This window comes from Homo sapiens, chromosome 11 (assembly GCF_000001405.40).
Source record: "Homo sapiens chromosome 11, GRCh38.p14 Primary Assembly".
In the NCBI taxonomy this organism is placed as follows: domain Eukaryota; kingdom Metazoa; phylum Chordata; class Mammalia; order Primates; family Hominidae; genus Homo; species Homo sapiens.
In genome coordinates this window covers 44,927,813-44,952,779 of record NC_000011.10, presented here as the reverse complement: position 1 = coordinate 44,952,779, position 24,967 = coordinate 44,927,813, and the positions used below count along the sequence as shown (strand labels likewise).

Genomic DNA, 24,967 nt, shown 5'->3' with positions numbered 1-24,967 from the left:
AAGCAGAGCACTGGCAGGTGTCCCCAAGTCTGGGAGGACATTGCACATGAATGACGCTGGGGGCCCTCCCTTCAGCAATCCAGAGCCCTGAGTGCCAGAAAGGCAGAAGAGGGAGTGACAAATGAATTCATCAACCCAGCTTGGCCCAGCTCTGTAAAGGCAGTGAGGTGAGACTGAGTTGTTGCAGAAATTACTATAGAGCCTTGAGTCAGATGGCTCCACCCAACACACCTTAAAAATAATCCTCATCTAGAGTCACATACTTTGATTGATTGATTGATTCATTCATTATTGGCTATCACTGTCTAGGTGTTTGGCTGGGGGCAGTGTCAGTGGCACTGGGGCATCAGAGTTTATCTACCTTAGTAATCAGGACAGTTTATATTCACTGAGCACTTACTATGAACCAAGGACTGTTCTGTTTACTTCCTTGCCAAGGGCACAGACTCTCCTGCCCAATCCCAGCTCTGGTGAGGACAGTGGGAGCCTGCATGGCACAGAGTCCATGCACAGTAAACATGAGCAGCTCCTATTAACTCTAAATCTCTACAGCAACCATAGCCGGTTCTTACTATTGGTTGCTCTAGGTGACTTACTTTGTCCAAGGCCACACAGGCACTAAAAGGCAGAGTCAGGATTTGAACCTAGGTGATCTGGTTCCAGAGCCTGCTCTATTAACCGTTAAGGAACTGGTGCAGACAGAACCGAGACCTGGAGTCAGAATGCCCACCTAGCTAGATGCCTGAGGCAGCCACTCACCTCTTTCTGTCTTATTTACTTGTGAAATGGAGCATGTCATCAGCCTTGCCTTCCTTTTCCCGCAGCCCCCCACCCCGGTTCCTGGCCCACTGTGACCATCAGATCAGATGAAAGAGATCCAGGCATTTCTCTAAGGAGAGCACAGGGTGGTGGGGGTTGGGGTGGGAGAGAGCACATTATTTTCCCACCATAAGGGGTTGAAGGAGCCCAGAATTTGGGGGTGGGGCCTTGTCTGTAGGAGCCTGGTTCTCTCAGGTTGACACGCCACCAGAGAGCCTCCATGACCCCCAACCCTCATCCTCACCCCAGCCCCCCATAGGATGTGTAGAGACAAAAGGTTTGACAACTGTAGCGCCAACAAGCGTCCTAGAGCCCCAGATAAGATCCTAGCCTCCTGACAGCGCAACTGACAGCAGCATCTCTGAGGCTGGATTTTAGGGTGGAGTATGAAGAAGGTGGCCGTAGTGACAGTGGGGTCATGTTATTTGGCCAAGTCACACCAAGCAGGGAGAGAGAAGGGTGGGCCTAGGCTGGAAGCCTGAAGGCTGAGTGAACTCAAACTTTAACGACCATGGCCTGTAAAATGGGACTAAGCACAGCGCCCTTATGGGTTGCTGTGAAAATCAAATGAGTTAATACTTGTAACTCCTTTAGCATATGGTGTCTGGCATCAGAGAGTGCGCAGCAAACGGTGACTATTGTCGTGACTGTGTTATTACACACTTGGGTATCACCGCCAGCCAAAGCAGTCCCTTCCATTTCAGGCACCGGCCTGGGCCCGGGAGACACCGCAAGGCTATTTAAGATGGTGTGGTTTGCCCATCTACGTTGATCGTCCCAAGAAAGGGGCACCGTCTGCAGAACTTGCCAGGAAAGTCATCCTGGGCGGCGCGGGCCACGCCAGGGTCTCCCCGCGCGGCTTCCTCCCCCGGCGCCTTCTCTCGGGCGCGCGTGCGCCCCCTGCAGGCGGCCCCCGGGAGAGCCTCGCGGGGGAGCCGGGAGCCTGGTTTCCCCGCCAACCCCCATCCCGCCCGCCCCGGCGGCCACCCTGGGGGCGAGGCAGCCCGGCGCGTGGGAGGGGACGGCGCGCCATTGGCTTGTGCGCGGAACCGAGAGGAGGGACCAGCGCGGGCCGCCAGACTCGGTAAGCCCCGGCCGCGCAGGGCGCCGCGCGCAGTCCAGCCGGCCCGGCCCTGCCCTGCCCTGCCCTGTCCTGCCCTGCCCTGCCCTGCCCTGCCCTGCACTGCCCGGCCCGGCACGGGCGGCGCGATGTGAGGCGTCCGAGCCCGGAGCCTCCGCCTGGCATCAGCTCCACGTAGCCCAGCGCCGGCACGCGCGAGGCCCGTAAGTTCTGCTCCCCGCCGCCGCTTCCGAGCCGCGGACTTTCCCCTCCCGCCGCCCGCCGCCTGCGCAGCGCAACCCAGCGGGGCTCCTGCGGCCGACGGGACCGCAGAGGGGCGGCCGGGACCCCGCGCGCGCTAACCGGGCGCCCCGGGACATCTCGGCACCCGCTGAGCCCGCTGGGACCCCAGGGGGTCGCCTCCCCAGCTCCCCAAGGCGCCGTCCCGCAGCCCCTTCCGTCTCCCCTGCGCGCTCTCCCCTCGCCGCCCCTCCCTCTGACTCGGTTTCCCCTCTCCCCCGGCTCCGCGGTCGCCCTCCTCCTGGACTGCTTATTTCGTCCTCGGCCACTGCCTCTCGGGCTCGAGCTTTCTGCTTCAGAGCAGGAGAGAAACGGAGCGAAAGCAGTTTCTGTCTCCCCGGGGTCTGACTCGGTCCCCCGCGCTCGGTTCTCTGTCCCCTCCCCCTCCCGCCATTGTTCCCGGCAGGAGGAGTGCGCGGCGCAAACTTGCGAGTTCCCCCAGTCTTTGCCCCCGCAGGGCCGCGGACGGAGGTGGTGGCGGAGTTCCCGCTGCCCACAAGTCTGGCCCGACCTTCTGGGGTGGGGGCCTGGGGGCAGGGGCCCTGGGCCGGAGAACCCGGGGCCGCCTAACGGCTCGGAGCTCACCGCCGGGGGACACCGGCGCTGAGGCCTGGGTCTCAGAAAGTGGGTGAGTGTCTGGAGCGGGGACATCAGGGACAGATTGCAGGGGGAGGGGCGAGGCTGAGAGAGTCCCCCGTCCCCAGGCTGGAAAGGGGCGGGCAGAAACCCAGGCCGCGCCTTAGCCCAGTTAGGGGGTGGGTAGGGGACGCACAGGTGGAGACGCCCCCCACTCTCCCCAAAGTCGCGCGATCTGCAGGAAGGGTACAGTGTGGGGCCACTGGCCGGGCGCTGGGTGGGTTAGGGCCCCTGCCGTGGGCAGAACACTCGCACCTACCCGGGGGAGGCTGTGTGGAGGAAGGGCCAGAACGCCGCGCCCACCCCGGCGCGCCCCGCTGGGCGGGGCGGGGCGGGGCGCTCGCCTTGGGTCCCCTCGCTCTACCTTCCTTCGCCCTGACCCAGTCTCGGGCTTCCGCCTCTTCCTGGAGCCCGGGGGGAGTGGGTTTCTCCGCCGGAGAGATGGAGGCTGGGGCAAGAGCAGCGCGGAGGCCAAGAACCCCCAGGCTCCTCCAAAGCCCAGAGCGGCTGGCCAAGGCCCCCTCACCGCCCCACTACCCTGCACTTCCTGATTGGTTTCTTTCAAACAAACTTCTTGACGGGGCGGGCCTGCGGGGAGAAGTCACCGGGGCTGCCCACCCCAACTATGTGGTCCCTTGGACCTCCACCCCTGACGGCCTGTGGAGAGGGGACCAGGATCTGCGGCCCGCAGATCCCAGGGACGCGGGGGTCGTTTTGTTGCAGAGCCAGGAGGGGGCACTGTCCGCTCCTTAGCCTCAGCCCCAGACTTCGAGAAAGGAGAGAAAAGATTTTTCTTGTTGGGTTGTTAGGAAATAAGACTATTCTCCAGGCTTCTGTTGTCCCATCTGTAAAATGGGTCGTCTTGTTCCTGAGGCCCCCTCTGTCCCCACCATCCCAGGAGGCCCCTGCCATGGCCGCTTCTTTCCCAGTCACATGTCGTCAACTTCCTCCGTGCTTCCAAATTTGGAGTGGAGGGCTAAGGCCGAAAGCCCCTTCACCCATGTCCAGCTGTCATGACCTGCCAGTTCTAGGACTGCGACCTATTTTCTGCACAGCTCTGCCTCCAGGCCCCTTGTGGCTTCTCCAGCTCACACCCAGCCTCCCAATTTCTTTTGATAGCCCCACCTCTGTGGGAAGAAGGGCCTGCCCCTCTTGGGGTATGGGGGAGGAGGGGGCTGGATTTAACAGGAATGCCCCATAGTCACACAGTTTGGGGCTGTTCTTTACTTTTGCTTATTGAACAAAATGTTTGTGAGCATTACACCAAAAATGGCTTATGGAGCAAAGTGCCAGGGACAGTTTCAGGCACTGGGGAGACAGCTGTGGACAAAATAAAAATTTTTGTCCTCATGGAGCTGATGCTTAAAAGCAGGGGGCAGGGGGAGGCAATTCCCTAATAAAAACAATAAGCAAATTATATAGTGTACTGAGAGGTGAAGGGGAAAAGTTGTGTTGGGGGTATTGAGGCCAGGGACCGGGTTGTCATTTTAAATAGGGTGTCAGGGAGGTCTCCCTGAGGAGGTAACTTTTGAGCTACAGCCTTGAGGGAGATGAGGGAGTGAGCTGTGTAGACAGCTAGAGCACAGCCCATGCAAAGGCCCTGAGGCTGGAATGTGCCTACCCTGCAGCTAGCAGGGAGTGAGGGGCTGAGGAAGAGTGAGTGACTGAGAAGGGATGAATTCCTCCCCTTTCACAGGTGAGGGAAGTGAGGCTCAGAGACAGTATGTCAGTCACCCCAGGACACACAGGCCAGGAGAGGCAGCTGCAGGGCGGGGTGCCTGATGTTCTGACTCCTGGTCCACGATACCTCCCCGGCACCCTGTGTCTCACTGTTTATCCTGCTACACTGGCTGGACCCCTCCCAGGGCCAGCGCAGCATCGTCCTCCTGCCCCAAAGTGACCCTTGCTCTCTCTCATCCCACTTCCTTCCTATGACCAGTCCCTTCTGAGCACCCAACTCTGACCTGGCACATGATCCCTAGAAGGGGACCTGCTCTGAGGCAGATTTGGTCAAGGGGGCAACTGAGGCAAGGAAGTAGAGTCTTCTAGTCTAAAAATAATGAGCAGCATTATTATTGAACATTAACTACAAAACAGGCGCTGTTCTGGATTTTTTTGGTGCATCTTCTCACTGGTGAGAGGTTGGTGTCATTATTACACCCCATTTAACAGATGAGGAAACTGAGGCCCAGGGAGGCAGAGTCACTGGCCCAAAGGCATACAGCTCATCAGTGGTAGAGCCAGGATGGAGCACAAGCCTTTTAAGTCATGAGCTAGTCCTTTAACCACTAAGCCAGCACCCCAGGATTGGGGAGACACTCAGTCCTGGACTATGGTTGTGGCCCATCTTATCCTGCGAAAAGGGCAGGGACCCTTCCACCTGCCTCCCCCAACTCACCCAGAAGACAAATCACCGCTTGCTTTTGAAGAAACGGGCTCAAAATGTGGAGCATCCCTTCGAGGAAGCTCCTGTCCTTTCCTCTCCCTTCCTCTCCCACCCTCTTCTCCCCTCTAAGTTCCTGAACAGCCACGGGGTGGGGGAGGGGCATGGGGAGAGTGGGGTGCAGGTCGGAGAGGGAGGTGCCTGCTGCATTCTCACCAGACCCCTAGCCCGATAGGATCTGGAAGTCAGGCTGTCCTGATGACGACACCAGCTGCCCTTGAGGGCCCTGACATGGTCACTGGGCCAAGGGGCAGGCTGGCCTATTCTCAGAGTCGAAAAGGACAGGAATTCTTCATGTTCTGCCCATGTGAATGACCGTCGAGACAGGAAAAACCTCCCAGTGACTTCTGAGCGGTGATGGAGGCCATCAGAGGGCCTGATCCCCTTGCCCACAGCAGCAGCTTCAGACCCCCGGGGGAGGAGCCCAGGAATGCCTCCTTCTTGCCACCTGCTCTGCCCTGACCTCTCGCCCTCTTCAGCACAGTAAGGAATGTTCATATTTGTCCCTAAAGCTTTGGAAATGTTTCTGATGAAAGGTTGGGCTTTCCTCTGCCTTTCTGGAAATTGGGCCCCTTCAAAAAGAAAGAGTAGGAAGATAGGACCTGTGTGCCAGTCCAGGCTGAGGGGTGGCGGGTCTTGGGGATGAGGCAGCTTGAGCTGGGGCCCAGCAGGGACCTGGAGTGTGGCCGCTGTGAGGCAGGGCTGGGAGGGGCCCTAGAGACCACATTCTCATTTTCTTAGACAAAGAAACTGAGCCCCAAAGACAGGGCCTGGCTTACCAGTGATGGCAGAATCTGCCTGTGACCTCAGCTGTCCTGTCTCCGAGCCCAGTGACTCAGGACACACTGCCACCTTCCAGCTCCAGGACAAACCTTCCACTACCAGATCTCAGGGCACATGTTCCTGGAGGTTCTTGGAAATGGGGCGTGGAACCTTTCTCAACTGCAGAGCTGTGTCATGGAGACGGGGGTTGCCACTGCCACGGGACTCGCATCCTGCGCCTGCCTCTCCCGGCCAGTTCCGCTCTGTCCTCACTCTTTGCAGCAGCCTGGACACTGAGCCCAGTGGTGATGCTGAGATGATGAGGAAGACGGATGCTGCAGCTCCGCCCTCCACTGGCTCAGGATCTGCTTGAGAGACAAGACTGACTAAGGCAGCCCCAGCCTTTGGAATAATGATGCTCTCGAGGGATGGCCTGATAGCAAGCCAGCTGGAGCCAGCCAAGGCCCATCCACCGGGTAGCCTCGCCTCAGCTTCCTCCTTAGCTGTGGGCCTCCGATGAAACCTGCACCCCAGAGGCCGCTGTGAGGATGTCAGTAGTGCAGCCGCTTTCATAAAGCCTCTTTTGTGTCCCATGACTTCTAGATTATCTCTCTAGCCCCCGGACAGCCTTGTGACTCAGGGACCACCGCCCCATTTACGGTGGAAGGAAGGGAGGCTCCTTCAAAGAGGAGTTTGTCTGCCCAAAGGCACGAGCCTAGTAGTGCAGAGCCAAGATCTGAACACAAGTCCCTTAGTCCCTAAGCCTCTCCAGTACAGCCATTGACAAGTGGATTCACTGCCTGATGGCCCAGGCAATAGATTCTGGGCTAGGGGATCTCTAGACTCCATCCTGCCCAAGGGGCCGACGGCAGCCCTGGGAGGGACCGCAGCTGGAGCGGATGACGCAAGCTCTGGACCTTCTATTCCGTCCCGCCCTCCAGGGAGCAGAGATTCTTTCTCCTGCCTCCCCTTCTCTCTGGCCGGGGGCCTGAGGCTCTGGCTCTCACTGCCAGCACCCCGCCCCCCAACTCTGTGTTGCCCTGTCCCAGACCCCATTTCCAGCTATTTTGTACTAAAGCGATAACAGAACAATGGGTCTCCCTGCATCCCTCCCCAAGTCCTGCTGGAGTCGCAGGGCCTTAACCCAAGGGAGGCTGGACCCCAGAGAGGAGTCCAGATGCTGGCGACCACCAGGGACTTTCCGGGGGAGTTGCCATGGGGAAGATGGGTTAGAGCTCAGTTCACGTCCACCAAACGCCCCCCCACCCCCACCACCGCACACATTGCACACACACATCAGCTTCTCTTAGGATGTCCAGTTAAAGAACAGTTACCTTGGCTTGAATTCCAGCTCTGCCACTTACCTCAAGGGACACTCGAATAAGTCACATGAGCCTTCGTTTTCTCATGTGTAAGATGGGGGTGATAATATGGCCATTCTCATAGGGTTGTGGTGGGGATAGCAGGGGATTCATGGTCTTGAAGTACTTGCCCCGCTCCTCCCAGCCCCGGGGTAGGTGGCCCTGGGGGCAGTCTTCCTTATGAGGGGTGGAGGAACAGGTGTGCTGCCTGCCCCTATCACAGAAGCTCTTGTTTGGAAAGGCAGTGGCTCCTTGGCTGAGGTGTGCAGCAGCAGTGACTCCCCCTTGACTCACAGGGAGGCTTGGCCACTGATGGATGTTCTGGGCCCCTTCCTCTTCCCTCCCTCATCTTCCCCACTCCCCCAGCCAGTCAGGTTTCCTAAGCCAGCCCTCACGGGCATAGTCTTCATGCTGGGGACAGCTCGGCAGTCCATCTGTTTCTATAGAAACCAGGCTTCCTGGGAAAGAGACAGGGGGTTGGGGAAGTCCTCCAGGATCTGCATGGGAATGACGCCTCAGTCCCATCTGATCTGGCCAGGGCAGAGCCTGGGCAGCCACCTTATTCATGTTATTAATTGCTGTCCTTTACAGAGTACACACCAGAGGCCAGGCTCCTCAGCTGCACTTTCTTATCATCACACATCACAAACCTGTGGGCTTTGTACAGAAGTAGTAGTCTGGTTTCACAGATGAGGACATAGAGGCTCAGAGAGGTTAAGTAACTTTCCTGAGGTCACAGAGCAATAAAGAGGAGCAGGGATTTGAGCCCAAGTTTTCCCAATCGTTACAAATATGCTTACCACCTCCCTGTCTGTCATCCTCTTCTGACTCTTGTATCCCCAAAAAGCCCCTCTCTTCCTGGCTGGTTTAGTCTTGGGGACTTTGCTTGTTCCCGCCTCGCCCCTGGGAAGCATGTGGAGGTGCTCTTCCCTGGCCTCAGATTCCACAGCAGATGGGGAGGTGGGAGGGACTGCAGGGAGTCAGATCTTGGCTGAAGAGGGCCTCTTAGCTCCTCCCGACTCATTCATTCAATCACAAATGCCTGTTGAACTCCTCCTGTGCCCGGAGTTGTCCCAGGCTCAGAGAACAAGACCCAAAGAAATCCTTGCCCTGGGGCACTCCCCTGCGAGTGATGCCACAGCTTTCTGAGGAGGTGGGGCAATGTCAGAGGCCAGTGTTCTCATCCAGTCCTCTAACCTTCACGGCTGTCCAGACCCCCCACTGCCAGGTCCTCTGCCAAGAGCATTTGCACCCCATCTCCTGGAGTCTTCAGCACCCCATGAGTAAGGCAAGTAAGGCGCTGTGGTGTGATCCCCATTGTATTGAGGGCTGAGACTGCTCGCTTAAGGCCACCTGACCAACAGAGAGTGGCCACTTTTGAACCCAGTTCTGCCTAATTGGAAAGCCCTTTCCTGCCCTATGCCACCAGCTTCCATGTGGCCTGGGGCACAGCCTCCCCTCAGCCCGCCACGTCTAACCTGTGGGCTTCTGAGTGTGCTGGTTGGGCTTAGCCTGACAGCTGCTCATTCCACCTGTGTTGACAAAGTGCCTGCTGTGCACCCCAGCCTCACGGGGAGATACACGGAGGAGCACAGTACAAGCCATACCTTCAGACTGGTTGGTCTTGGGGAGTCAAACTGCCGTGAAATGACCAGGAGTAGAGGCTATAAGTGGCCAGTGGCTGCAGACACTGAGACCCGTGAGAGTCCAGAGGAGGATGAGGACCCAGTGCCCTGGGAGGGCCCTGGGAAGAGGGGCTGTGTGCAAGATAGCCTGGAGGAACAAGGAGCATGGTGGGGGGACAGAGTGTCCCAGGGACCTTCTCACTTGTGTAAAGGGTCAGCAATGAGAACCACTGTTGAAAGGTTTGCTGGCTGATCGGGAATGTGGGCGAGAGCAGCTGGCAGGGCAGAAGGGAAAGGTTCAGGATCCCAGGCCTGGGCCCTAGGAGCCATGTCCTCCCTTCTTGCCAGACAGGTGATGTGGGTGGAGGAGTGGCTGTCCTTGCTGCCCCTGCCCCCAGCCTCCTGCAGCCTGGCTCCTGGGGGAAACCCCCGGGGGCCCTTCAGAAGGCAGTGGGGCAGAGCAGGAAGCTTCACAGCACTGATGGCAGGCTTTTTCCACTGTGCACGGCTGAGTGGAGAAAGGGAAGTGGAAGGAGGGCCAGACTCCTCCCTGGGCAGGGCACTTTCCCCATGGGTGCCCACGTGCACTCCTTCTTTCTCTCTCCACCAGCACGTCTGCGAGGTGAGCGTTCTCACTACCCCCATTTCACAAGAGGGGAAACTGAGGCTAGGAGAGGTGTAGTGACTTGCACAAAGCCATGCAGCTGGCAAGAGGGCAGAGCCAAGACTCAAACCCAGGTCCCCTGCCCCCAAAGCCGGGGTTTGGCCATAGTGCACGGTGGAGTCTTCTGTCCTCACTTAGGCCTGAAATAAACACCTGGAGTGGCCCTGAAGGGGAGGAAAGGTCAAGGGGAGACCTCAGGGGTGTGTGCAGCTTGCCTCGCCAGTGGGGCAGGTGAGGGGCTGCTGGGTGGATCTGATCATTGCAGGGCCCAGTCCTGGGGGTGAAGTAGGGGTGGAGCGCCGTTCTCAGAGCAGTTATCTGTGCTGGAAGGTGGGTGTGGGGCCCTCCTCCCTGGAGGTCAAGATTCCATTTTCTCTGTGGGGCCACATGGGCCCTTTGTGAGTGATGCCCTCCCTGCTAGGGTGGGCTTGGGAGGTGGGCACAGTGGTTCCCACCAGCTCAGATGTCTGATGGCAGTGCCCGTGGATGAAGATTGTCCCACCCATGAGTAATTCTGTCCAGGACACTGTAGTGCCCACTCTTCCCAGCCCCAGCAGGTGGGCACTGACACGTCCCACAGCCGTTGATTTGCAGCAGCTGTTGTTGACTCCGTCCTGGGATGCAGAGGGGAATGCTCTGTGTGTGTATGTGTGTGTGTGTGTGTGTGTGTGTGTGTGTGTATGGTGTGTGTGTGTGGTGTGTGTGTGGTGTTTGTGGTTTGTGTGGTGTGTGTGTATGGTTGTGTGTGGTGTGTTGTGGGGGTGTGTGTGTGTGGTGTCTATGGTGTGTAATGTGTGGTGTGGGTGTGGTGTGTGGTATGTGGTGTGTGTGATGTGTGTGGTGGGTGTGTGTAGTGTGTGGGTGTGTGTGGTGTGTGGTAGGTGTGTGGTGGGTGTGTGTGCGTGGTGGGTATGTGTGGTGTGTGTGTGTTTTGTGTGTGCATTGTGTATGGTGGGTGTGTGTGATGTATGTGTGGTGGGTTTGTGTGGCGTGTGTGTGCACGTATTGTGTGGTGTGTGTAGTTTGTATGGTGTGTGTGTGGTATGTGTGTGGTGTGTGTGGTGTGTATGTGTGTGGTGTGTGGTGTGTGTGTGGCGTGAGTATGGTGTGTATATGTGGTGTGTGTGTGTGTGTACTGTGTGTGCAGTGTGCGTGTGTGTGCATGTGTTGGTGGAGAGGGGTCAGCAGGCAGAGGAAAGCAATGCATCCAATGCCTGGAAGCTTCTGCCCCTCGGAGGTGGGCCGTGGACACAGCCTGGGCCTGGTGGGCAGTGGCTGAGCGCCAGCCTTGTGCCCGGGGACTGAGATCTGGGGCTTTGCCCAGTGGGGCGGAGAAGTTAAGAAGTGTTAGTTAGATCCATTTCCTACTCCTCCATGGCCTCCATCCTGGTGCCACTGCCACATGGGAGGCCTGGGGAGGGTGGCAGTGTCTGTGTCTGATAATTGCCTGTCTTCACTGGGGACTTGCTGTGGGCCAGGCACTTCCCCATGGCTTCATGGAGATTACAGCTTTTATTCTCACAGTATCTCTATAAGATAGGACACCTTATTTTCCCAACTACACCTGGGAAGACTGAGGCACGTAGAGGTTAAGTGACTGACCTGCCCACGGGCACACAGCCAGGCAGTGATGGATCTGGGATTCAAATCCAGGGAGCGTCCTCAGCAGTTAAGCACTTACCCATTAGGCCTTCTGGCTTGAGCAGTGAGCTGGCTCTTTCTAAAGCACTGTCTGTCCATTATTTTGTTTCTCCTGAGACCAGCTGTAGGGGAAAAGTGAGGTTGGCTGTTTTCGTTTCACAGATGAGGACCCCGGAGCTCAGAGAGGAAAAGTAACTTGCTCTAATCAGTGGCTAGCAGATCAGCGCCCCCTCCCCCGGCCAAGGCTGGGAGCTCTTTCAGGATAGGGGGCCTGTCCCACCACCCATGTACCTTGCTCACAGTAGACCTCACTAAGTGCGGATTCCTCAGGCAAATGTGCAGGTGTTTTGCTGAGTGCTCTGAGCTTTTCTTTTTGCCCCGGGCTCCCTAGGAAGTGGGAATGATGGCTCCATTTCACAGATGAGGAAACCGAGACTCAGAGCACAAGGCCACACAGCAGGAAGAGGTAAGGCAGGACTGAGGGAGGCAGCACGTCTGGCCTGGGAGAGGGGTTAACCAGCCAGGAGGAGCTCGTAGAAGGGCTGAAATAAAGACCGACCTTACCGAGTGTTGGTGAGGATGTGGAGGAACTGGAACACTACTGCATTGCCAGGGACACGCAGTGGCATGGCTGCTCTGGGAAACAGTTTGATGCTTTCTCTGAAAGTCCAACAGGGATGTACCACACAGCTCAGCAATTCCACCCCTGGCATTTACATAGAGAAATGAAAACTTACGGTCCCACAGAAACGCGGGTTTGTAGCAGCTCTATTCATAATCATCAACAACTGGAAACAACCCACATGGCCTTCAGTGACCGAATGGATAAACAAGCTGTTACACGTACCCCAGGGAATACTGCTCTCCAATAAAAAGGAGCGGACTCTTGATACACACAGTGACTTGGAGGAATCTCAAAGGCATTCTGCTCAATGACAGGAGCCAGCCTCAAAAGGTTCTACGCTTTATCATTCCACTTACATGGCATATTTGAAAACACAAAAGCCATAGTGTCAGAGAATAGATCAGTGGTTGCCAGGGTGGAGGTGTGAGGGGAGGGAGTGGCCAGCGCCAGGGAGTTTTTGGGGTGATGGAACTGCTCGTTGTCTTGATCTGGAGCTGGTGGCTACAAAAATCTATACGTGTGCTAACATTCAAATAACTGCACAACTGAAGCCCGTCAATTTTGCTGTATGTATTAAAAGATAAAAGGCCATGGGGAGGCTGGAAGAGGAAGGGCGTGGGCCAGGCAACATCCTTGGCTGAGGAACAGGTGAAGGACCCGGTTCTCACCAGTGGCTTAGTGACTTTCAGGGCAGCCTCGCCTGGCCACGGGAGGGACGTGGCTAATTGTAGCTTCTATCTGGGTTCACCAGAAGGCAGTGGCTAGCAGCTGAGGTGTCAGGACGGCGTCCTGGGCCCTCCAGGAGCCGGGTGATGAAAGGTTAGGCCCTGGCTTCCCTGGCAGGGTAGGGTTGGCCTCCTGTCCTGATGGCTGGCACACACCGAAGCATTAACCGGGAGTCTCTTGTGTGCCGGGTGTGGGACTGCCGTCACAGTTACCACCCGCCGCTGTCTCCTTTCACCATGGGGCCTGTGTGTGGGGAGGAGAAAGGCGTATCCACTCCTTTTTGTGGATGAGGAACTAAAGCCAGGGGGCGTAGGAGGGTAGTTTGGCCTGGAAATGACATCACACTCACTAAAGACCGCCAATAGCAACTTTTGCAGTTTTTTTTCCCAATGCGACATGGTATACTGCCTCCCTAGTTGATCCGGTCTACAGCCACATTATTCACAGACCCCACAGTTTGAAACTGTGTTCTGATATTTGTTCGGGTGCTTTATTTTAAGACACCAGGAGGCTCAAAAATGGGAGGTGACCCGGGGACATCCCCGCACTCTGCCTCTGGCAGCCCTGGCTGGGGCAGGAGGGTGAGATTTGCCTGGGGCCACAGGGCACTGAGACAGCAGGGTCCCCTGCTAGAGGGCCCAGTGGCTTCTGACCCTGTCTGTAGATGGGGATGGCTTTTCTGCCTTGCCAGAGGGTGGGTGCAAGTGGGAATGAGATTCTGGAAGTGGTCCGAGGTAGGAAGTGGCACGACCGTTATTCACCTTGGTTGGCATTGAAACCCCGGGAGCTTGGTTTCCTCATTTGCAGCGTGGCCGTCAATAGCGCCCATCTTGCAGGGCAGCTGTGATTAGAGAAGCCAGGGCCACCCCGGAGCCAGCCTCTGAGGCTTCACCTCACCCCGTTTACACTGCTGTCTCCTCTGCATAGATTTGGCTGACTGAGGACGCGACAGGTACTCAGCTTCTTTCTGCATCTCAGTTGCCCAGCACAGGGGCTGGCACGCAGTAGGTGCTCCCAACCTGGTCCAAGATGTTGCTGGCGGTGGGGGAGTGGGGGGCTGGGGAGGATCATGGGCAGACCTGGGGTGCCGGGAGGGGCTGGTGGGGGGCTGATGGCCGGGAGGGCAAGGCCTGAGCAGGGAATCTAGACCACCTTAGTGTCCCCGTCAACACCCCTGGCAGCCTTCTCTGGCTCTGCTGGGTATGAGGGCACCCCCTCCCCTTCTTTGGTCTTGGCAGGTTTGAAGGGGGGTGGCAGGGAGACGGGAGAGGGGCTCACCGGCTTGCAGGATTGGGCAGAAGTTTGGTGGGGGCCCAAACCCCAGAACTCAGAAGCCCCTGCCCCAGGCTTGGACAGACCCTCCCCTTTTCTAAACCTCATTTGCCCCATGAATCCAGGCTCCTTTCCTCCCCATCCCCCCAGGAAGCTTGGATGTGGCCGCCATCCAGACCCAAATGCCCTCTCCTGGGCCCTATGCCTCCAGGGCTGGCTCTAAGGCACCATGCAACCTGTCAGATGGGGTGTGCTGTGTCCACCTACAGCAGACCAGCTCCCAGAGCCTCAGGGGCCTGGAGAGCATTTCCTCAACCCATTTGACAAGGAAGCCAGCTGTACTCCCCCTACTGCCCTGGGCTCGTGGGGAGGCCTCAGCAGGCCTGGTGTGGGGTGTGGCCTTCCGCTAGTCAGGCCCCTTCCCCTAGGGTCTGGAAGCTGGGTAGGAACTGTGGCCTGAGGCCGGTGTCTCCCCTCAGCCCTTCTGCAGAGGCCGGGCTGGAGGAGAAGATGGCGGCCAAGCAGCCCCCGCCTCTGATGAAGAAGCACAGCCAGACGGACCTCGTGAGCCGCCTGAAGACCCGCAAGATCCTCGGCGTGGGCGGGGAGGATGACGACGGGGAGGTGCATCGCTCCAAGGTGGGGTGCAGAGCAGGGGCCTCCGGCACCCACTGGGGAGGCCAGGCTGACCCACCATTAGGGGAGAAGGTTAGCCCAGGCCCAGGTAGCCGCAGGAGTTCTAGGACTTAGCTGATTTTCCTAGAAATGTAACAGCAATGCCAGGGGAATAACGAGATCATTAGAATTAAGTGCCTATTACGTGCCCGGTTTTCCAGCAGTTGCTTTTTAAATCTTCTTGTTGGCACTAGAAGATGCAGATACTGTAAAATCATTCACCCATTTTATAGATGAGGAAACAAAGGCTCAGAGAGGTTAGGCAACTTGCCCAAGGCCACACCGGTAAGTGGCAGGACCAGGCTTCAAGTCTGCATTTGGCAGAGCCCTGAGCTTTCATACGTCACCATCATATTTTCAGCTTCTTTTAAATCCTAGTGTCAAGGGGAAGCAGGAGAGGGGGTGGCCTCATGTGACCCTCCCCACCTGGGGGAACCTTTGGCCAAGCTGAGGTGCCCAGGCTGGTCCCTGGGTGTGCAGGGCTCTGGGAGGATGAGCGAGTGGGGGCGCTGAGAGCTGCCCTCACCCTGGTTGCCTCTGACCCCCTCTGTCCACAGATCAGCCAGGTCTTAGGCAATGAAATCAAGTTTACCATTCGGGAGCCTTTGGGGCTCAGGTGAGCATTTACCTGACTTTTTGGGGGAGGGGAAGGCCTGCGGCGGTGGGGCAGAATGCATAAGACCTCACCTCATTTGGCCTGGTCCCTGGATTTTATTTTGTCTCATTACCTTCCCCAAAGCTGCCATCCCTGGGGATCTGGGCTGGAGAGGGGAGGGTCCCCTGGGGCAGGGCTGTGATCTTCTTTCCACGCCTCCCAGGGTCTGGCAGTTCGTCTCTGCTGTGCTCTTCTCCGGCATTGCCATCATGGTGAGCCCCCACCCCCAGCCCCTGAGATCTGGCCCCGTGTGGCTCCCTCAGCCCTTCTCTGGCTCACCAGAGGTGCCTCCTCCATCCTGGCCCCTCGTGCAGGGGCCCATCTGTCAGGCTCTGGGGCTGCCTCCGAGAACCTGACTCCTACACTGCCACGCCTGTGCCTTCTCCAGGAGCACACTAGATCCCATGGTTTGTGGCCTGACTCCTTCTCCCAGGAACCCTGGAGTTTTCTGTCCTGGCATGGGGGCGGGTGGGGACAATTGGGTCCAGACCCTGGACTGCCCCCAAGGATGCTGATCCTGCTCCTGGCGGGGAAGGAAGACGTCTGTGGGAAGCATCAGCTGTCACCCCCCACCCTCTCCCAAGCGGGACCTCTGAGCCCCTCTCGCTGCCCGCAGGCGCTTGCCTTCCCTGACCAGCTCTATGATGCGGTCTTTGATGGAGCCCAGGTGACCAGCAAGACCCCCATCCGCCTCTACGGCGGTGCCCTCCTCAGTGAGTACTGCTGGGGCGGGCCCTGGGGGAGGCGACGGGCAGCTGGGAGACCCAGCGGGGCTGAGGAGAGCACGGGGGTCCGTGCCCGGGCACCCCTTCCTTTCTTCGGCCAGATGCTGCGCCCACACCCCGGCCTCTGATGAAGCTCTCTGCTGGGGATGTGCTGCCATCTTGTGGCCATTGGTGGAATACACCCAGTGGGTTGGAGCTTGCAGTCGCCACCATCTGCAAGGAGCGCTCATAAGTGTGTGCACTGCCTCTGGGCGTTGTGGTACAGAGATGGAGGAAGCCCAGGCCCAGCCTCTAGGAATTCACAGCCTAGAGGAGAGGCAGATCAATTCAGTGTCTGCAAAACCCCTCGCACCCCCCCTATTTTATCCCCAGAGCCACTTCTGTTTGAACCACTTCTGTTTCCTCTCTAACCTGAGATGCACACGTTAGGATTTGGAATTACAATTTTTAAAGCTCAGCATAGGTAATATGCCTCTATTTCTACGAAATATTCTATGGCTCCCTATTGCCTACAGAATAAAGGCTGAGCTCCTCTGGAGTTAGGGTTGCTGGAATAAAATAAATGCACACCCAGTGGCATGTCTGGTACCAGCAGACACTGGGTGGGCGGGGCCTGCTAGAGGCCAAGTCAGTGGTCTTCTGCTAAAAAGTATGGTTCATCCCCCTCCCCCAGGGGACTTCCTTAAAGCGAGTCCTTACCGGGCTCAGGTTTTCTGTCTGGGAGTCCGTGTAAAAGAAAACCCAATCATAGGACCAGGTAACCCATTAACTCATGAACTCCATGAACACAGCATCCTCCTGACAGAACCGGACATGGGCAGGGGCCAGGGGCTCAGTCCTCCCCCTTTATAAAGAGATCGAGTCTCAATGCGGGGAAGTGACTCGCCCAGTGTCACATAGGGCCTTGGAATGACAGGAGCAGGCTGAAGCAGCAGCATTGAGTCTGGAGGGGACAGGATCGGGGACAGACAGCTTTGATTTGAGAAATGTGAATAGGGGCGGAGGCGTGGAGTCCAGGACCCCAGCTGTCTTGCAGCAGTGGCCAGAGGAAGCAGGAGCAGTCCTCCTGCCCTGCTGGGAGGGAGTCAGCTGTCCCACCCCCAGCCCCCTTTTCATCCCCCGCCCCAGGCATCTCCCTGATCATGTGGAACGCTCTCTACACGGCTGAGAAGGTCATCATTCGATGGACCCTGCTCACCGAAGCTTGCTATTTCGGGGTCCAGTTCTTGGGTGAGTCCTGAGGTGGGCAGTGAGGGAGGCTGATGGGCCGCTTCGCCCCTGACCTGCCTGCTCTAGCCACCTGGGTGTGTGGGAAGTGATGAAAACCTGTCTGTGGGGGGCTAGGGAGGGGATAGAGGGATAAGGACTCACCTGGCTGTGTTTACTTGTGTGCCTGCACACCTGTGCACACATGCCTAACACACGTGCCTGTAGCTTCCCAAATCCACACACTTGTATCTATGGCCTTGCACACACATGTACCTGCGGCCCCCCCACACCCACTGCCCACTGTACCCAGCACGTGTGTAATAACACGCATTCAATTTTGCCCACCTGCTGTGCCCCAGTTCCTGCCACATGGGAGACATCAGAGCAGAAACATCTGTGGGGTTGGCAGGGGCAGGGGGCAGGTCCTGTGCTTCCCACCTGGGAGGATCCTGGGCTCAGAGCAAAGTCAGGGAGACGGCCACACCAGCGCTCCGGGCTAGGGGGGCAGCGCTGGGACACATCCCCTCCTCTGACCCTGTGGCCTTGCTGGACTCTCTCCCACAGTGGTCACTGCCACGCTAGCTGAGACGGGCCTCATGTCCCTGGGGATCCTGCTGCTCCTGGTCAGCCGCCTCCTTTTTGTCGTCATCAGCATTTACTACTATTACCAAGTCGGCCGAAGACCCAAGAAGGCCTAGTTGCCCGCTGGGCCTGGGGCCCTGCCCATGCCTGGGCCAGAGTGGCGCTGGGGCCTCGGCTTCCCTTTGGCTCCTGGAAGGCAGGAGGGTCCCCTGCCCTGCCCCAGTCCTGCCCCAGGGAGGCAGGGGGTGGGGGGCCTTCCTTTCCTCCTGGGCACCCCGTGTGCTGTGATCTCCTGGGCTTTCAGGCTTGACATGCTGGTCTGGGGAGAGACAGGGCCTCTGCTGCCCTGTTCTTCACCCTCACAGTGATACCTCCTTTCCTTGGGTCTCTTGGCCTCCAGACCCCCTCAATAGACACTGACTAAAGTCAGGCTGGAGTCATGAGGGTAGTGGGCTAAGTCGAGGGTCCAGCCTCTTCTGCCAGGAAGCCCTTCTTGCTTTTGAGAGAGGCTGTGACCACCCCCCATCCTTCTCCCTACACTCCCAGCCAACCTAGTGCCCAAGCAGCTAAACTTGGCTTCCTTCTAATCCTGGAAAACCCTGTACCCCTCCTCCTCAATCTGGCCCTCTCCACATGCACACCCTGAAAACACACACAGACACACAACACACACACATACACACCCCTGAACACACACACAGACACACATACACCCATGATGTGAGCAAACACACACACGTGCGCCTTCATAGCCCAGCCAAGGGCATGCAGGCAGGGTGTGCTGCCTGAGATGGCACCTCCCTTTCAGCCATTCTTCAAGAATGGGCCACACACAGCTAGAAGTCCTCTCCCAGCTAGAAGTCCTGTCCCCACTCTCCTGGCCTGACAAGATGAGCTCTCCTGGGACCTTGCTCTAGGGCACTCTGCCTCTACCCTAGGACACTGGAATGCCCTGGGAGCCCCCTCCCTGCAACCAGCCTGAGTTCAGCCCCACGGACAAAGGGACACACAGCCCCCAATGGAGACCATTGTAAGTGGTGGGGCTGGGAGAGGAGGAACAGAAGGAAAGCCATAGCGCTCTCTTGCCCCTTGGCATGTACCCCAAGGCCTGATGGCCACTGGGCTCAGCCTGTCCCCCACTCCTGCCTGCTTCCCGGTGAGCTGCCCCCCACACGTGCAGCCCGGGCTGCCTCCAGGGTCTGGCTGAGTGGGATCAGGTGGCCCTCCAACTCAGCACAGGAAATAAGTAGAAACATTTCAGCAGGCCACCTCCCCTCATCTTCCCCGCCCTGTCCAGCGCCCTGGCAAAGGCTGACAACTGGCTGTCTTGGGGCCGAACAGCCCCTGCCCTGCCTCTGAGGGCCCACCAGCCTGTGCTGCATACCCACCGCCCAGCTTCTCCCTGAGGGCCCACCAGCCTGTGCTGCATACCCACCGCCCAGCTTCTCCCTGAGGGCCCACCAGCCTGTGCTGTACACCCCGTTAGTCCCTGATCCCAACCTTCTCCCTCCTGCCAGCACACCGATGCACACACCGGAAGTGGCGAGCCCAAGCCCTGGGGACAGGTGTAGGGAGAAAAGCAGCCCCAGGCCTCAGACTCGCTTCCCATCCTGGCATAGAGTGGGGGATGGCTGGAGGGTGTCTATAGGTACAGCCCGCTCTGGCTGCTGCCAGGTGGGCCCCTGCCAGGGGTCCTCACCCCTGTCCACCCTGTGCCTGGCTGTCCCTGCACCCAGATACAGCAACATGGCCTGTACCCAGCAGAGTGGTGGCACCACCATGGTTACAGCGGATGCCCCGAGACTCTGCTTGGTAAACGTGGCAGAGCAGAATGGGAGGCTGGACCCTGAGGAAGGGCCCCTCTCCTGGCATCTGTCTCTTGCTACCTAAGCCTGTGCCTCTCCCTAAAGAGCTGCCTCCCTGCTGCCGAGCCCTGGTCTGGCCACGAGCCACCACTGCCTCCCGCTGCTGCCCACAGGTGGTGCCGCCAATGGGCAGTGCCCTCAGGCCGAAGCCTCAATCCCCCATCTGAGCCAGGCCTAATCCTCTAATAGTGATGGTTGGTTTGTCCTCCCATAACTGCAGGTGGATTCCACCTGGGGAATGAGGCTGCGTGTCGGGCGTCTGCTGGCCCTGAGACATCCAGTCTTCCACACTCAACTGTGGGATGGGAGGGTGGCGTGGCCTTACCCCATGAGGCTGTCCAGGCTCTGGCACACAGCTGTGCTCACAAAATACTGGGTGGCTTGGTTAGAGCTAATTGTAGTGGAGCCTGCAGGTGAGGGTGAGGGAGGGGGCTGCAGGTCAGGTAAGATCTGGAAGACAGACGTACAGCTTGGAGGGCAGGGGGACTCTAAGGCAAGGAGATTTACAGTTGGGAAGGAGGCAGTGGCAGAGGGGTGAGGGACAGGGGCCCTTAAGTCCAGCGAGGAAAGCTCGGTGTGGGCCCGCTCTACGCTCCGTTTGGGGTGACCTGGAACGCCTCTTCTCCCAGCTCCCTCCAGCCATCAGCAGCCTCTTGTCAAGCTTCTGCCTCGCCCCAGTCTATCCCCAACCCCAAATCAAGACCACCTTTCTTCACGGTCACTATTTATTCTTTGTTCCTTTTTCTTTTTGTAAGAAACATTCACAAAAACCAGTGCAAAACCATCAGTGTGGGCGTCCTGTTTTATATTACAAAACTTCCTCTGGATATATCATATAAAAGGGGGGTCTCACAGGAGAGAAACGTGATAAATTAGCTCTGCAATCTACGGCAAGGAACATAGTTTTTAAAATAGACTTTCAACATATGACCCATGGGGGAAGGAGGAGGGGGCTTCTGGGGAGACGGCGGGTGCTGGGGCCTCGGCTGGTTTGGGAAATCCTGTCCGGGCCCCTTAAGCATGGATAGAGACATAGACAAGGGAGGCTGTGGACAGGCCTGAGCACCAAGGCCAGAAATTAACAGGGACCCTGGGGAGGGGCCCTCACCCCCAGCCCATAAAGAGCTATTCCCTTTCTCTAAGAGGCAGTAGCTTCAGAGCAGGAAAGTGGCTTTCGATACAGGCAGGGTTTGTGATGAGCGGTGTAGTCTTCTTGTTCCTTGCCCTGTTAGTGGGGTCCGAGGAAGTCTCTGTTATGGGCTGTTGTATTTCGGGGTGAAAAGAAACAAAGAGGTATCCCTGCCCACCCCTCCCCCACAACCCCAGCCACCACCAGAACCTGCTGTGGGTTGTATCTGGACCAAGCCAGCTAAACCCTGTTTCTCCCTGTGCTCTGGAGGGAGGCTCAAGCCTGATTTGGGCTGAGCTTTCTTTGCCTTGCCTCCAAGGAATGGCCTCAGGCAGTCTTGCAAATAGCTACCAGCCTGAGCGAATGCCAACAGGAGCAGAAACTGCCTGTCTTCCCTTTCCAGCCTAAGAGGGTGGCCAGTGGCTGGCTGGCGAGCTGAATCAGGGCTGATTGAGGGTTCCTTGGCACATTTGTAGAAAGCTGCTGAGGGGCAGTCTTGTGTCTGCCCTTGAACCCACCTTAGCCAGATTTCCCTTCATGACCAGCCCTTTCTCTTGGGTCCTCCCTCTGACTTCTGTGGGCCCCAGAAGCCTGGGATGCCCCTGGATTAGAGCCATAAAGCTGTGCAATTTGCCTCAGTCCTGCCCAGCATGGGTTTTTTGTTTTTTGTTTTTGTTTTTGTGTGTCATCCTCAGACCAGCCATTTGCCTCTTCCAAAAAGCTGGGGCTAAGCATGTGGGTGGTTCAAGAGGGGCAGCCCCCAGGCCCCAGGCTGGGCCGCGGTACCAGTGGCAGGTCCCCCTGGGTCTCAGGAGCTTAGCTTCTACGGACCTCAGGTGTCATTTATGGGGTTGCCAGAGCAAGCTGTTAAAGGGCGAATTTGGTAACACTGAGCTCAGAGACCTGGTGGGAGGGCAAGGACTGGCGGGCACAGCAGGAGGAGATTAGAGGAGGGTCCACCTGAATCTTTGCAGCAGGCACAGAGCTTCTGGCTGCATCTCAGAAGGGGGCAGACGCACAGGCCAGGGAACACGGGGCTCTAGGCTGTGGCTCCGAGTGTCCCTGGTGACTGGAAAGCCTGAGGGGAGGCTGGAAGCTGATACAGGATGCCGGTGGCTTGTGAGACAGAATGAGCTCTTTCTTCCTGAAGAGGGACAGAGGGGAGAGAAGAGAGCAGACATCACACTGCTCCTTCCATCCCTGCCCGTGGCAGACATCACTAATCAAACTTACGGTGCCTGGCAGACATCACTCATCAGGATTGCACTGCCGTCTCCCACTGAGCCCAGACCAAACCTCAGATCCCCAGCACAGCCTCCAGCAGCCACCCCTGATCTATCAGGGTAGGAGCATCTTGCAATCCAGTTGCCAACACTCGTCTAGAGTTTGAGAACTGAATACTTGTGGGTGTGCATCTGCGAGTCTCCCTGCCCAAGCCTGGAGGGAATACTAAGAAATGTGCGGACAGTGAAGAGACAGGAAACCTTGTTGCAGCAGAAATGGCCTCGATGCCTTCGGGATTCTTTAGCCTGGAGAGAAGAGGGCTCAGGGGAGTCAATGTGTGACCTCAACACTCCAGGAAGGAGAGTGGGCAAGTGGGATGCCATGGACAGAGCCACAGAAAAACAGAAACCTCTTCTGTGTATTAAGCTGATGCTAAAGTCAGAGCAGTCCAAAGGCAGGAGGCTGCCTTGGGAGGTAGTAAGCTCTCTGTCCCTGGAGGTATGCAAGAGGGTGGAGAAGTCTTGGCAAGGATGTTGAAGAAGATATCCAAGCCTCAGTTCTGGGTGTGGAGAGGGAGACCCAGATGATCTTGGGGATTTCTTCCACTCTTGGAGCTGGGGAGTTGGGGAAGGACAGGGAAGGGGGTGGCATGTGGGAGAGGCGGGCAGTGTGGACAAGGGAATGTGATGTGCACCTCTGTGTGTTCCTGGGGACTCAGAGAGAGGTGTGGGGAGGTAGGAGCGAGGGCGCGGTGGGAAGTCATGGAATGGTGTTTTCTTAGCTGTAGAGCAGGGAGGAGGCAGTTCCTGGCTGACTTGCCCTCTCTTGTCTGGGGGAACCGGGATGCTGAGGCCAGGGGTGCATGTGGGCAGCAGAGCTGACAGAGTCCTGGATGCAGTGACAGCAGCCTGGAGACAACTCAGCTTCTTTTCAGAACTGTCACGCCTGTGCTGTGTGTCTGTGGATGGTCACTGTCCTCTCTGGGCCTTTGAGATTATTTGGTCCAACAGATGGGGAAAGCAAGGATCCTACCAGCTGGGCCATTCTTGGATGCCGTGTTAGCAGCTCACTCTTGGCCCCGGCCTGAAGGGGGGAACAGTCCATCCTCCAGTGGACCAGGGATTGCGCTGTGGGTTCCGAGTCCTCAAAGACATGGCAGCTGAATCTCCGTGCAGCCCCTGGGCTTTGATGACTTCTCTGAGATTTGCTTTTGCCTCCTTGTTGCCTAAATCCTCACTTTCTTGGCATCAGGTCCTGGTGCAGTGAGGAGAGAGGGCCCAGGGTCTGGCTGGACCAAAGAGGGCGCTGGGCCTGGTGTTCCTTTGGTCTCTAGAGCAGCCTGCATCCTGGGCCAGTTGCTGGGGTCTCTGGAGAACCCACGGCACCTGCCCTGAGTCCAGGCGAGGATACATCAGTCCATATTTTTGTCTTCATTTTGTTTTGTTAAAAAAATAGCTCTATTCCCCTGGCCCTTCTCCTGGCCATCTCTGATGGCCTCATCTTCTCCCCTGGGGCCAAGAGGACAGCGGGGAGGGGCACGGGAGGACACTGGGTGCTGGGCAGTGGTGGGTGGGGCGAGTCTTCAGGCTTCAGGCCATACCCTCTACTGGATGCCCCGGAAGAGGCACATGGCAAAGATCATGGCGAAAAGCTGCAAAAAAAGAAAAAGAGCAGGAACTGGCTTATCAGGCTGGGCCCTTTGTGGGCTGCCTGGCCCACTCCAGGGGAAGGGGAGTGAATGCCTGTCACTCTTAGCACACTCCTCCCCTAAGGATTCCTGACATTCCCCTGGGGCCAGCCCTTCTCACCAGCCCCTACCTGGCTTCCTTTATGTGGTGGAGTCATGGACCAGGAAGACTTTAGAAACGAGTGTTGGGTTCAAATCCAGCTCCCTGACATAGCAGGGTTGTCCTTAGGCAAAGCACTTCCCTACACTGGGCCTGAGTATGTATCCAGAGCTTGCCATGTGCCAGGCACAGTTTTTTTTTTCTTTTTTGAGACAGAGTCTCACTCTGTTGCCCAGGCTGGAGTGCAGTGGCACGATCTCAGCTCACTGCAACCTCTGCCTCCCAGGTTCAAGCAATTCTCCTGCCTCAGCCTCCTGAGTAGCTGGGACTACAGGCATGCGTCACCACGCCCAGCTGATTTTTATATTTTTAGTAGAGACAGGGTTTCACCATGTTGGCCAGGATGGTCTCCATCTCTTGACCTCGTGATCTGCCTGCCTCGGCCTCCCAAAGTGCTAGGATTTACAGGCGTGAGCCACAGCGCCCAGCCAAGGAACAGTTTTAAGTGCTTTATTGGGAGGTATGTAACCTACCTGAGGTCACAGAGCCACCAGCAGGGGAGCTTGGGTTTCAGTCCCAGGCATTGTGACCCCAGAGCCCATGCTTACAACCCCTGCAGGCTCGCCTCCAGCTCACAGGAAGGTGGTGAGATTTAAGTGTAATGCAATTACCTAATGATGTAATGTGCCTCTTATCTAGAAGTTGCTCAGTAAAAGGTTACCAGGACTGCTATGAATAGGCAGGCAGCTGCAGCCCTTCCCGGAGTTATGAGCTCCATCCCTGAACACCTGTCTGAGGGCCTGGGGTGGTGGGGCAGGGAGACCCTAGCTCAGGGACTCTGACCAGATTTGCTGATGTTCTCACGGCCAGAGCTCATTGCAAGTAGCTGAGGGAACAGTCCCTAGACCACAGGTCATGGCCAAATCACCAGGAGGCTCACTGGGGTGGGGAGGGGCTACCGGGACGGGGCCATGTAAAGGTCTCCGTCTTGAGCAGGATTCTGCCTCCCATGGGGCTGGCCAGCCAGGCTCATGGGCTGGGCTGGGAGTGAGGCAGCAGATCAAGTATATGAATGCTGCTTCCTGAGCCCCAGTAGCATGCTGTCCCCGTCATCTGTAATCCCTCTGTGCCCTGGGAGCAGGGTGATCAGCCCATTTTGCAGATGAAGAAACTGTGACTTAG

At 57.5% G+C, this 24,967-nt stretch overlaps 2 protein-coding genes across 34 annotated transcripts in view, besides 8 other annotated features; one reads left to right on the top strand and one right to left on the bottom strand.

Annotated features, from left to right (window-relative positions):
* The first annotated feature begins 1,473 nt into the window (after positions 1-1,473).
* On the top strand, positions 1,474-20,432 carry TP53I11 (tumor protein p53 inducible protein 11). Of its 26 annotated transcripts, NM_001258320.2 has the most exons (10): positions 2,620-2,807; positions 11,703-11,777; positions 12,033-12,266; positions 13,590-13,666; positions 14,414-14,573; positions 15,167-15,225; positions 15,428-15,476; positions 15,881-15,977; positions 17,118-17,219; positions 17,763-20,432. In NM_001258320.2, exons 5-10 carry the CDS (start codon positions 14,445-14,447, stop codon positions 17,894-17,896), a joined length of 570 nt encoding a protein of 189 aa, NP_001245249.1. In that variant the 5' UTR covers positions 2,620-2,807; positions 11,703-11,777; positions 12,033-12,266; positions 13,590-13,666; positions 14,414-14,444; the 3' UTR covers positions 17,897-20,432.
* Positions 1,708-1,967: a silencer, noted in NCBI's record as "silent region_3282". NCBI's record gives its function as "represses an Ori minimal core promoter by ATAC-STARR-seq in GM12878 lymphoblastoid cells {active_cell/tissue: GM12878}" and the evidence as "EXISTENCE:reporter gene assay evidence [ECO:0000049][PMID:35858748]".
* Positions 1,998-2,127: a silencer, noted in NCBI's record as "silent region_3281". NCBI's record gives its function as "represses an Ori minimal core promoter by ATAC-STARR-seq in GM12878 lymphoblastoid cells {active_cell/tissue: GM12878}" and the evidence as "EXISTENCE:reporter gene assay evidence [ECO:0000049][PMID:35858748]".
* Positions 7,005-7,608: an enhancer, noted in NCBI's record as "H3K4me1 hESC enhancer chr11:44966723-44967326 (GRCh37/hg19 assembly coordinates)". NCBI's record gives its function as "activates a minimal SCP1, AML or CMV promoter by ChIP-STARR-seq in naive H9 embryonic stem cells {active_cell/tissue: H9 hESC(naive)}" and the evidence as "EXISTENCE:reporter gene assay evidence [ECO:0000049][PMID:30033119]".
* Positions 8,818-9,466: an enhancer, noted in NCBI's record as "H3K4me1 hESC enhancer chr11:44964865-44965513 (GRCh37/hg19 assembly coordinates)". NCBI's record gives its function as "activates a minimal SCP1, AML or CMV promoter by ChIP-STARR-seq in primed H9 embryonic stem cells {active_cell/tissue: H9 hESC(primed)}" and the evidence as "EXISTENCE:reporter gene assay evidence [ECO:0000049][PMID:30033119]".
* Positions 13,573-14,286: an enhancer, noted in NCBI's record as "H3K4me1 hESC enhancer chr11:44960045-44960758 (GRCh37/hg19 assembly coordinates)". NCBI's record gives its function as "activates a minimal SCP1, AML or CMV promoter by ChIP-STARR-seq in naive H9 embryonic stem cells {active_cell/tissue: H9 hESC(naive)}" and the evidence as "EXISTENCE:reporter gene assay evidence [ECO:0000049][PMID:30033119]".
* Positions 15,857-16,457: an enhancer, noted in NCBI's record as "H3K4me1 hESC enhancer chr11:44957874-44958474 (GRCh37/hg19 assembly coordinates)". NCBI's record gives its function as "activates a minimal SCP1, AML or CMV promoter by ChIP-STARR-seq in naive H9 embryonic stem cells {active_cell/tissue: H9 hESC(naive)}" and the evidence as "EXISTENCE:reporter gene assay evidence [ECO:0000049][PMID:30033119]".
* Positions 16,003-16,092: a silencer, noted in NCBI's record as "silent region_3280". NCBI's record gives its function as "represses an Ori minimal core promoter by ATAC-STARR-seq in GM12878 lymphoblastoid cells {active_cell/tissue: GM12878}" and the evidence as "EXISTENCE:reporter gene assay evidence [ECO:0000049][PMID:35858748]".
* Positions 20,357-24,967, bottom strand: part of TSPAN18 (tetraspanin 18) — a 206,114-nt gene continuing 201,503 nt past the window's right edge. For all 8 annotated transcript variants that reach the window (XM_047427847.1, XM_011520459.4, XM_047427846.1 and 5 more), the window contains one exon: positions 20,357-23,649. In XM_047427847.1, coding sequence (XP_047283803.1) covers positions 23,602-23,649 — 48 coding nt within the window. In that variant the 3' untranslated portion in view covers positions 20,357-23,601. The remainder of the gene's footprint in view (positions 23,650-24,967) is intronic.
* Positions 21,481-22,089: an enhancer, noted in NCBI's record as "H3K27ac-H3K4me1 hESC enhancer chr11:44952242-44952850 (GRCh37/hg19 assembly coordinates)". NCBI's record gives its function as "activates a minimal SCP1, AML or CMV promoter by ChIP-STARR-seq in naive H9 embryonic stem cells {active_cell/tissue: H9 hESC(naive)}" and the evidence as "EXISTENCE:reporter gene assay evidence [ECO:0000049][PMID:30033119]".

Coding starts and splice junctions, on each gene's coding strand:
- TP53I11 (NM_006034.5), top strand. CDS start 14,445: ATGGCGGCCAAGCAGCCCCCGCCTCTGATGAAGAAGCACAGCCAGACG. Junction 15,477..15,880: donor TCTCCGGCATTGCCATCATG/GTGAGCCCCCAC, acceptor CGCTGCCCGCAG/GCGCTTGCCTTCCCTGACCA. Junction 17,220..17,762: donor TTTCGGGGTCCAGTTCTTGG/GTGAGTCCTGAG, acceptor TCTCTCCCACAG/TGGTCACTGCCACGCTAGCT.